This window comes from Homo sapiens, chromosome 12 (assembly GCF_000001405.40).
Source record: "Homo sapiens chromosome 12, GRCh38.p14 Primary Assembly".
Lineage (NCBI taxonomy): Eukaryota > Metazoa > Chordata > Mammalia > Primates > Hominidae > Homo > Homo sapiens.
In genome coordinates, this window is record NC_000012.12 from 92,555,268 (window position 1) to 92,567,403 (window position 12,136).

General features: G+C 37.3%; 1 long non-coding RNA gene across 2 annotated transcripts in view, besides 2 other annotated features; it reads left to right on the forward strand.

The window, feature by feature from the left end:
* Nucleotides 1,852–2,052: a silencer, noted in NCBI's record as "peak1886 fragment used in MPRA reporter construct". NCBI's record gives its function as "represses an SCP1 promoter by STARR-seq MPRAs in K562 erythroleukemia cells {active_cell/tissue: K562}" and the evidence as "EXISTENCE:reporter gene assay evidence [ECO:0000049][PMID:32103011]".
* LOC105369905 (uncharacterized) overlaps nucleotides 2,017–12,136 on the forward strand; it is a 72,972-nt gene continuing 62,852 nt past the window's right edge. For both annotated transcript variants that reach the window (XR_945211.3, XR_001749261.3), the window contains exon 1: nucleotides 2,017–2,331. This is a non-coding gene — a long non-coding RNA (uncharacterized LOC105369905). The remainder of the gene's footprint in view (nucleotides 2,332–12,136) is intronic.
* Nucleotides 5,816–5,895: a silencer, noted in NCBI's record as "silent region_4702". NCBI's record gives its function as "represses an Ori minimal core promoter by ATAC-STARR-seq in GM12878 lymphoblastoid cells {active_cell/tissue: GM12878}" and the evidence as "EXISTENCE:reporter gene assay evidence [ECO:0000049][PMID:35858748]".

Consider the following 12,136-nt stretch of genomic DNA (forward strand, 5'->3'; position numbering starts at 1 on the left):
CTTAGAACAACTTCCAACTCCTTCCTGCCATGTACAAGGCCCTGTCTTCTCAGGTGGCCTCATCACTCACCTCCTTCACACTGTACCCCACCCCAGCCACACTGGCCTTCCCACCAGGCTCATTTTCAACTCAGTGTTCTCCCACGTGCTGCGGCCACTGCAGGGGCACTCTCCCCGAGGCTTCTCCCTCATGGGACTGGCATCTCCTCACCTCTCAGGTCTCCACTCAAATATCACCTCCTGGACCTGGCGCAGTGGCTCATGCCTGTAATCCCAGCACTTTGGGGGGCCAAAGTGAGTGGATCACCTGAGGTCAGGGGTTTGAGACCAGACTGGCCAACATGGTGAAACCCCGTCTTTACTTAAAATACAAAAATTAGCCAGGCATGGTGACACATGCCTGTAATCCCAACTACTCAAGAGGCTGAGGCACAAGAATCTCTTGAACCCAGGAAGCAGAGGTTGCAGTGAACCAAGATCGCACCACTGCACTCCAGCCTGGGTGACAGAGCAAGACTCCATCTCAAAAAATAAAAATTAAAAAATCACTTCCTAGGAGGTGATTCTTTTTCTAAATTTGCTCTTCCTTCTCTATTTTCTATCCCCTTACCCTGCCCCCTTTATTTTATAAATAGTAATTATCACTCTCATAAACCTTTTTTATTTTCCTGTTTACTAATTTATTATCTATTTCCTCCAACTAGAAGATAAGACCTTTATGAAATTTGTCTTAGTTATAGTTGCATTCCCAACATGCTGAATTCAGTTCCCTGAATAAACTTTCAGGATGCCACCCACAAGACAATTCTGTTATATTTTTCCCTCATATGTTGAAAAAGCCATAGGATTTGAGGATACCATCAATTATTTTTCATTGATAAGGATTTTTGACTTTAGAAACTACAGAGAAGGGTCTCTTCACTCAGAGTATTTTTTATTTTCTCTGTGTTGTAGGCATACCCACAGTATTTGGGTCAGAAAGAAAAGTTCTTTGAGTCTGCGTCTTATTGCAAATGTTGAAGAAAGAAAGTGAAACAGAAAGATTTGTTTCTTATGCCTTGTGGAGGTTCTAATAAACTCAGTGCACCACCTGTTCTGTGGAATCCTTTGAATGGTTTAATCTGGTTGTTAAACCTTTTCTCTCCAGAGCTGCAGAAGAGAGGAAGATTCATTTATTTCTTCAACAAACAGCTCAAATGTCACTTTTCTGAGAGTTTTCCCTCACCATGATGTCTACAAGAGTCTTCCCAGCCTCTTATCACTTTTTAGTTCATTACATTCTATTCTTTTCTCCATAGTATTTATCTCTATCTAAATGTATATTTCTATGAATGTTTTCCATATTCTCTGTCCGATTCTTCCTGGTAGAATATAAGCTCGTGGGAGCAAGAGCCATGCCTTTCATCCACTGATGGTTCTCCAGAACCTAGAGTTCCTGGCATGTGGAAAGCCCCAACAAACAGCAGTTGAGTAGATGAAGAAATGAAGTGGCATCGGCTCTGTGAAGGTTTTTTTGACAACTCCTTTCTAACTTTGATGTTCTTGCCTTTCTGAACACTCTGCACCTGTCAGCTCTGCTCCATCACAGGACTTTATTCTCTAAAGTTCTGTTCTTGGACATTTATGTAGCACCATTGAACCCTTGGCTGCTTCATGACACCAAACAGACCTAAACAACACAAGCTTGTTTGTGGTTATTTTATGCATTGGTATTTTGTTTCCCCAGACAACACTGTAAGCTTCCCACAGGGAAGGCATGTGTCTTAAGCCAGGAAATAGAGAATGAAGAGAAGGTTTTGCGGGGGTGGGGTGGGGGATGATAACAAAGTGAGTTTTTAAGATACTGAATTTTACGTCTATAGGATATGCGGGTAGAAGTGTCCAGTAAGCAGTTCCTGTACATACTTCTGAATGTCGGCAAAGAGGTCTAAGCTAAAATCATTCATTTGTAACTCATCAACATGTGCTCACTATGAGTAACAAGTTAAGAAAATGCGCTCACTTGGGGAAAGTAGGAAGAAAGCTTGAGGAGATGAGCGAAGAAGGGCAGATGAGTGAAGAAGGGTCAGATAGAAGATGCAGGCAGGAAGGAAGCTTGTCAGTGGTCGGAGGAGGACCAGGTGAGTGTGTCACTGAGGAGGCCAAGAAAGTTGAAATTTTCAAGATGAGAGAGAATGGTCAATGGCGGCCAGTGTCACAAAGAATCCAAGTAAGGGAAGACCAGAAACATGTCCACAGGATTTGGCAGGTGAGCCTTGCCACAGCAATTTCAGCTAAGTAATGAGAACAGAAGCCTGGCTGAGAGAGATTAAGAACGGACTTTACTGGAAGGTGAGTAATTAAACAAACCAAATTAAGACAATGCCCTTAAGAAGCTTAGCTTTGAAGACAAGAAGAAAGATACACTGGTACCTAAATAAGAGTTGCTGAAGAAAATGAATTGGGTTTATTACTCAAAAGTAGCTTTTAAATTGTACACTTGAAATACGTGTGGTTTATTGTGTGCCAATTCTATCTCAACAAATGCTTTCAAAAAGCATGGTTTAGAATTTCACAAAATATCAGTAACTTTTCATTTCAAATGTATTATAACATATTAAGGTATTACCTGATATCTGAATGAGAAAAATCCAGATTAAAAAAAACAGAAATATGTAAAGTCATATTCCTTGTTTATAAAAAATGAAAAGAATATGAATAGTATCAAAAGGACTCTTTTTCCTGTGGTAGAAAGCAGGAAGGCATGATCATCTGGAATATGGGCCAGCATAGGGAAAGGGCAGAATTATGGAATTCTGGTTATCATTTGTAGATTACTGACTATTTATCTAAGAGGGTCCACATTGGTCTAGGTTAGGACCCAAACTAAGGTGAACTGAAACCAAATTAAAGCCTCCAGTTAAACCCAAAGAGTTTCCTGAAAAGACGATGTCACAAAAACTTCATTTAGGGCCATAATGGGAAAAAAATGCATAGTGAGACAATTCACAGAGAAGGGAGATGAACACCTAAGTTAAATATTTTTCCTTTTTAAAAATATTTGTCCTTTTCCCAAAGGTTCAGCTATTGTCTTACCAGTGTTCTCAAAATTGAAGTGAATAAAATGCCAAGGTTTCAACAATTACTCAATAGTCAGTAGATTCAAAGATAAGATAAGTAGACAAAACTAAGAGAAATATTAACTTGGTGAAAGCTGTTTATTCAGAAAGCAGCCATCTAGAATTTTTTCTCCAGTGTTTTCACATGGAATATTTTAAAGAACAAATAGAAAGAAAGCCAGTAGACTAAATACTGATGTGTGCAGTGCTGGACTTTTCCTCAAAGCACACTTTCCCTCAGTGGATCCTTAAAATAATTCAGAGAAGGAGGCAGTGTGCTAGGGCCTTTCCCCACCTCACCCAGAGTCATATTTATCTTTGAGTTTTCACACAAACAGACCCCGAGAGGTAATAAGTTTTTCCTTTGACTCCTCTTGTTTTCTGTAACATCATTCAGACAAGCAGACTTAGCAGTGACTGAAAATGCAATAGAGTTAAGTAGAGCAAAGAGGACAGGAGGCATTTTATATCTGCTGAAATGTGTACAGTCACCTTATTAATTACAAAAGAAATCTAGGCACTAAAGATAAGTAGCATGGTTACCAACGTACTCATTAAAGAACTATACAGAGAGGCTAAGGATGTGACCATCTCATTCCAGATTGGAATTCACGACTAGAAAGGCAACATCCAGTATCTGTCATAGAATTAGTACAGTCATCATAATGTTCTATACCCTGTGACTTCAGGGCATAGAGATGGTCAAAAGTATGATGACTGATGACTCACAAGGCCTCTCAAGATATTCAGCATCAATTTGGTGTCCACTGTATTACCATCTTCAGTTATTCATCACTCTTCCCATTTCCCCCCACCCAATGCTGTTTATGCCTCCTAAAATAGTAGCTAATATTTATAGAGGCCTTACTATGTACCAAGCATTGTTCTAAGCACCTCTCATGTCCTAAATCACTTAATTATCACAACAACCCTATTAGGTAGGTGATATTCTGCTCATAGCCATTTACAGATGAAATGGCCATGACAAAAAGAGGTTAAGTAATGTTTCCAGTTGGCACACAGATGGTGAGAGTAAGAGCAGAAATTCAAGCCCAAGCAGTCTGGAATCAGCCTTTTGTTCCCAGTCTCTAGGCTATACTGCCTCCATGCTTATTTCAGGTCAGGACCATCTCTCTCCTGGAATACTACAATAGACTCCTAGCTGGTCTCCATTCATCTTACTTCTTCTCACATTATTTTTTATTATAAAAATAATATATGAATACATTCTCCCTGTAAAATACAATAATAGTATAAATTAGATAAAATCCCATTTGGCCACCAGCTGCAATTCCAGTTTCCTCCCCAGGATCAGGTATGTCTACTCCTAGATCTTTTTCTGTGTATGTATGTACCTTTAAAATATATACAGTATCGTTTGATAGTTTTTTAAACTTTTATTTTAAGTTCGGGGTACATGTGCAAGTTTGTTATATAGGTAGAATTGCGTCATGGAGGTTTGTTGTACAGATTATTTCATCACCCAAATATTAAGCCTCGTACCCATTAGTAACTTTTCCTGACCCTCTTCCTCCTCCCACCCTCTGTTCTCTGAAAGGCCTCAGTGTGTGTTGTTCCCCTCTATGTATCCGTGTGTTCTCATCATTTAGCTCCCACTTATAAGTGAGAGCATGTGGCATTTGGTTTTCTGTCCCTGAGTTACTTTGCTAAGGATAATGGCCTCCAGCTCCACCCAGGTTCCTGAAAAGGACATGATCTTGTTTTTATGGCTGCATAGTATTCCATTGTGTATAGGTACCACATTTTGTTTAGCCAAGTTTGATAGTTTTTTTTAAATAAATGTTATTATAGCACTCATGTTCAAATTTCATGTTTTAAATTTATCTATATGTTTTTGAGAGCATTCTAAATCAGAACTGTGTGACCTTTAAAAGAAGAAAAACCCAGTACCATTTTTTAAAAGCACCCTCACTCCAAAATAGAGATGGCATAACCCTACTGAAGTGGTCTGCTACTTCCCTTTTAGTAACAGTGAAACCTAGCAAAGTCTTCCAAAGGAAAAAACTAGAAAAAAATTAAAGGAGTAACAGTTTGAGTGGCATATACACAGAAGAATGAGGGGCACTGTTTTATGGAAACTAATCTGTAGGTGAAACAATATGGGCATTGTCACCTGGAGATTTGCCATGAAGTGAGTCCAGATCCATTTCTTGATAAAGTCTACATAAATAACCAGACTATTCAGTTTACCAGTACATCTCATTCCTATAGCAATCTGGAGTATTGGATTGCATTAAGGTTCTACTCACTGAAGTAATCCCTTCACAGACTTCAACATGTTAATCTCTTTACTTGCTTACTGTTTCCATAATGTAAGCTCATAAAGACAGGAATTGCATCTCTCTTATTCCCTGCTGCAGTGCAATTACCTTACTCAGTAGCTGTCACATAATTGGGGCTCAACAAGTCATTGTTTAATGAGTGAATAAACCCAAAGACACATGATTAATTAGTGGTTCAATCACCCATGACCATTGTACAGTAGAGATGACCTAAACAGTTATAGATTTACAGCAGTCACTAATAACAAGTCATCAAAGTAAAACTCAACTGTGACAGATTAAAAGGAGCATAAATTCTAGAGTCAGTTACCTGGGTTAACAAAACGTATTCACCACATGCTTGCTGTGTGACCTTGGTCAATTTTCTTAACCTCTCTGGTATAATTTGAATATTTGTTCCTGCCCAGATCTCATGTTGAATTGTAATCTCCAATGCTGGGGGTGGGGCCTGGTGGGAGGTGTTTGGATCATGGGGGCCGGTCCCTCATGAATGGGTTGGGCCATCTCTTTGGTGTTAAGTGAGCTCACGCTCTAAGTTCACAGGAGATCTAGTCATTTAAAAGTGTGTGGTGCCTCTCACCCCCACTCTCTCTCTCTTGCTCCTGCTCTGGCCATGTGACGTACCTGTTCCCCTTCACCTTCCACCATCATTATAAGCTTCCTGAGGCCTCCCCAGAAGCCAAGCAGATGCCTGCACTATGCTTCCTGTAGAGCCTGTAGAGCCGTGAGCCGGTTGAATATCTTTTCTTTATAAATTACCCAGTCTCAGATATTTCTTTATAGAAATGCAAGAATGGCCTAATATACTCTCTCTTCAGTTTCTTTATCTGTAATAATGACAATAATCAAATCTTTAGAATTTTGCCAGGACTAAATGAAGTAATGAATTAAGGCATCTAATAATGTGTGAGACAATGAGTAGGTGCTTAGTAAATGTCAGTGCTGTGCCTATTTTCCCTCCGCCCACTTGCCACCTCTTTTCTAATAATAAGACCAAGTTTATTTACCCTGATAAGCACGTCTCTTCTCTCATTTCCATTTGTGGCAATGTAGGCAACCACTTCTTTCTCTTTCAGTGCTGACCTACTGTTTTGTTGGAAACAGTCCCAGGGCTCTGGGCTTTAGAGATTGCTGTTGGATTGCGAAGCATTATGGACCAAATCCAAGTGCTGCAGCACATAATGGCTCTGGCCATTTAAAAAATCTAAACTGCTGTAGCTATTTTATGGGGTGCAATATATATCCAAAATTTTATAATAGGGTTACCAAATGCAGTGCTCTAAAAATCAAGAATCATTCAAAATTTTCTCATCTCTCCACAGAAATAAATTGCTATGTTGGTTAAAACAGACACCTTGCTCAGGAGTCTGAGGTTTTCTCTAAGATGTTCCACAATTATCATTTAAAGCCAGTGCATGTTATTCAAACAGGAAAAGGTAGAATTCTTAACTTAACTTCACCAGAATTAGACTTTCATTCTGTGATATTCGTTATCCAATTCCCAACATTTCCGGTACCTCCAACTCTCTTAGATCTACCCTCAATCCCCTTATTTACAGAGTCTTCAAGTCTCAGAAACACTTGCATTTATCCTGTCATGTACACACCCTAAAAGTCATCCTAGGTCTTTAAAAAGACTTACAGATGACCGAGCCAAACACAATCCTTTCCCTATTCTAAGTCTTACTCTTCTCAACATTTGAGACTGCCTTTGCTTAGACCACTGGGGCAGATCTATTGTGTTGCTACCTGAGTGCTCTCCTAGCAATTAGACATGTCTTTAAAACAGGACATGTATTACTTCTTCTTTATCTTGCATTATAAACTTGAGCAATGTCTGGCTTGATGAAGGCAGTGTTTCTACTATCTTGGTTGGGTTCCAACCATAACCTTTGAGTAGAGAACAGTTTGGGCAACTTATAAATCTTGTTTTAAAAAGTAAATCAACTTCTTGCTTTGAGATCTGGGTCATTTCAAGAATAGCTGGAGTACTCCATTCACCCTTGGCCTGAAGATTACATCTTTTCCCCAAAGTTCTAGCAAGAGCCACCCAGTTAGAATTATAGTCAATAGGATTAGCTAAATGTACTACACCCAAAACACAAGCAGCAGCTGGATTACCATCCTACAGCTCACCTGTTGGTAAATGTTGATCTTATAGTTCTTATTTATATAAACCTCAAAGCCTGGAGGAACTCATACCCCACTCAGACATCATCACAAGAGAATTCTGAAGTGGAAATTAACAGCTAAATGGACCTGTATAGGACTAAAAATATATATCTATGTATTTTATTAAAATACATATGTTATTAAAATATATATTATTAAAATATATTTTTAATTAAAATATATTTATTAAAATATATATATTATATATATATATTATTAGTTCTAGATTCCAGTATTCTTTTTTTGGTCTAAATTTGTAAGACTCAGCAAAGACATTCATCCAGGACATCTATAGCTTGCTGTGAGCCTTTGCTGTCTTCAGTAACCAGCATGCGAATTTCATAGAGATGCCAATGGAGAGAAAGATACAAGGCTTCCTTCCCTTTAAGAGGCATATAATCAAACTAGTCCAAGAAAGCTAGTTTGACAAAAGTCAAGGGAAGGAGGGGAATAGGGAAATATATGTTAAACTACATGGCTAGTTAAACATTAGTCCTGCAGGCCGAGTATTTGCTGGGAAAAGGGGGACCCTCATCAGTTACTTCAGGAGCTAGATTTTTCCATGGCCCCAAATATCCTTAGTGTGTTGTATGTCCTTCCAAGGATTGGTGTCTGCACTACACAATGCCCAATCATCTTAAAGTACAGTATGTCTTCTAGTATTGGTGGTTCCTTACAGCAGCTTATTCAAGTATCTTAATTCTTTAAATCTGGAAAAGAGACAAAGAGAAATATAGGCTACAAATTTCATCCTCAGAATGTATCATCAGCTCACTAGTTAACTATAGTATTTCATTAGTAATAAGATAAGGCAAAGATGAAAATAATAACTGAAAATGCACACATTTCAGACAAAAAAATCCCAGCCCAATTAAAATTATAAATTAAAATTTTATATCTCACTATCTCTCTGTATTTTAAAAAGCAATTTGCCTCAACCCCAACATAAGTTGAACCACTTAAATTGCAGTGACAAAATCAAAGCTTTGTTCTGAATATTGGGAGCTGAGATCTATTTTGCTACATATCTTGTAAAATTATCCCCAATTTCAGGACATAGAGCTACAGCATTAGAAAACCTTATGTTTCTTTTTGTATCATGCAATGAATTTTAAACAGTCTGTTTTTCCATTGCAGCCTTTTTTCTACTGGTGGTGAGCAGTGGGATGGAGTGAGGTGGAACAGAGGTTGGGAAATTTGTGAGCAGAGCGTTTTTTAAGAGCTCAATTCAAATGGTTAAGTAGTTACAACAGAGTTCTCAGATGCTACAAAATTATGTTAGATCCTTATATGAATATCATATCCTTATATGAACTCCTAGTTCACTCTTGTTTTAAATCTAAATTCTTTAGACTTAACATTTGGTAATGCTTAAACAAAAAACAAAACAAAAAAAGGATCAGGAAAACAAAACAGAACACTGTGAGCTTGAACATATCAACAATTTTTCATGGACAAAGAATAAAACAACTGCATAGTAGACAAAGATCTGCCCAGCTAAAAATCAATATTTGTATCCAACTTTGGGGGGAGTTAAGAGAACTAACTGCTTATGACATCAGCCCTAGAAATGTGCCTGTAAATATCCACATTAGTAATGCTTCATCTACCAGTTTCTTATAACCAACATGATCCAATTCAGTAGCTACCACAACTGATCCAAGCTGCCCTACGGGAAATTATGCACACCCACCAAAAAAAGTAAAAATCGTCTCTGACCAAAAGAACTGGGTCACAGGATGAGAGGTGGCACCATTCTCTTTAATATCATTAACTCTTGATTTTTAAGGAAACATGGTTCCCATAGGCCTAAGAGGGTTTCTTAAATGTGACCTACATTCAAGCATAATTATCTTTCTTTCCCAACTGGCAAACATACACTACATAACCTTGTTGTAAAATCCCATAATTAATACAGTTTTGAATATTATGAGCCAAATTATCTGACCTAAAATATAGTAAGATATATAATAGTTGAAGACAATTAAAATTGTCTGATTGTACCTTGGCCCTGCCTCCATTACTTTTGAAACAACAGCTTTTCTTTTATGAAACATAATTTATTTTATCAGTATAAGTTATCCATAGAGTTTGATGAGAGAAGTTAGGACTGCCATATCCTTATCAAATATTCAGGACCAGTTTTAAATATTATTAAAAAGTACAACCAAGCTGAAAACTAAAGCAGTGCACATGATGCCCTGTGAAAGTAGAAATTTATTCTTTAAACAGATTAACTTATTTATTTATGCTGTTGTATTTATTTGGTTTTATCAAATGTTGTCTAAGAGACATAGCATAGCATGAGAGATAAACAAATTTACAAGCAAAAAACAAACAACCCCATTAAAAGGTGGGCAAAGAAGGTAAACAGACACTTTTCAAAAGAAGACATACATGTGGCCAACAAGCATATGAAAAAATATTCAACATCACTGATCATTAGATAAATTCAAATTAAAACCACAATGAGATATTGTCTCACACCAGTCAGAATGGCTATTATTAAAAAGTCAAAAAATAACAGATGCTGGTAAGGCTGCAGAGAAAAGGGAACATGTATACAGTGCTGGTGGGAATGTAAATTAGTTCAGCCACTGTAGAAAGCAGTTTAGTGATTTCTCAAAGAACTTAAAACAGAACTACCGTGCAACTCAGCAATCCCATTATTGGGTACATACCCAAAGGAATATAAATCATTCTACCATAAAGACACATGCAGAAATGTTTATCGCAGCACTATTCACAACAGCAAAGACATGGAATCAACCTAGATGCCCATCAGTGGTAGACTGGATAAAGAGAATATGGTACATATACCATGTATATACATAGTATACCATGGAATACTATGTAGCCATAAAAAAGAACAAGATCATGTCCTTTGCAGCAACATGGTTGGAGGCTGTTATTCTGTGAACTAACACAGGAACAGAAAACTAAATACCATATATTCTCCCTTATAAGTGGGAGCTAAACATCGACTACACATGGACACAAAGAAGGGAACAATAGACACTGGGGCTACTTGAGGGTGGAAGGTGGGAAGAGGATGAGGACTGAAAACTACCTATTAGGTACCACGCTTATTACCTGGGTGATGAAACAATCTACACACCAAACCCCCATGACGTATGCAATTTACCTAGGTAACAAATCTGCACATGTACCGCTGAACCGAAGTTTGGATCTAACCAGGTCAACATTTATCAGCTTTATTATCTTAAGCTTATCATTCAACTCTCTTGGAATCTCCGTTTCTCGTCTGTAAAATGAGATGGTGGCAATACCTATTTTACAGAATTGTTTTTAGAAAAAATATAATTGAGGTAAGTTACAACCTGGAAAGGATTTTTTTAAAAGTTTGACCTGTTTATACCTTAAAATATTGAGAAAATTGTCAGAGAAATGGTACATGCCAAAAGGCACCTTACACATATGCACTAAAAACACATGTTTACAAATGATGTAGACTATAAATAAATACTAAATATGTGTCTACAGATTTCAGGTCAGACAAATGTATATTTAAAAATTAACAGGGACTTCTAGATAAAGATGGCAGATTATGCAAATGTATTTATATTCTCTTCCATCCAAAAGCCTATTAAAATGTTAGTAAAGGAATACAAATAGGTACAAATTCATAAGCTAAAATAAGAAAAAGAAATGGACATAAACTGATAAAAGATTTCAACAATTTTTTTTTTTCAACAAACAACCCCAGATGAAAAGTGAAAACATGCTGACAGGTGAAAAGCATCCAAAGGGGTTAGCTTAGAGCAAAATAAAGAGGGTGGAGGGTTAGTGACAGCAATGGATATAGGTTGCCTGGAAGAACCATTGAGATGCTCAGAAATCTGAAAACTGAAATACCACAGGAGTGGGAGTGAGACATAAAGGCTAAAATGCAGAGGAAATCCATCAAAACTCTACTTATGAAACAGCTGATTTCACCACAATATAAGTTACAACCCCAGTCATGGCATTTGCTTTGCCCTAAAATATCAACAGAAAACCAAATATTCCCATACACTTGGAAAAACTTCTGAGTGTGAGACACTCTAATCAAAATAAACAAGAAAAGCTGATTACAAAATAGAAAGCCATATTATTTAAAAAAACAGACATTTTTGCAGAAATTCCAACACCCTTAGAAAGATTCAAGAATACAGTGCTTTCATTAGACAAGAACTGGATACTATGAAAAATGAACAAACTGAGATTTAAAAGGTTTGATTTTAAAAATATGATTGCCAACATAAAAAAGAGAAATACATTTTAAAAACTCAGAAAAGTCTCCCAGAAGATGAAATAAAAATAGACAAAAAGATCAAACCAGTCATGAAGTCTTTGCCCATGCCTATGTCCTGAATGAAAAGCAATGGCAACAAAAGCCAAAATTGACAAATGGGATCTAATTAAAGAGCTTCTGCACAGCAAAAGAAACTATCATCAGAGTGAACAAGCAACCTACAGAATGGGAGAAAATTTTTGCAATCTTTCCATCTGACAAAGGGCTAATATCCAGAATCTACAAAGAACTTAAACAAATTTCAAAAA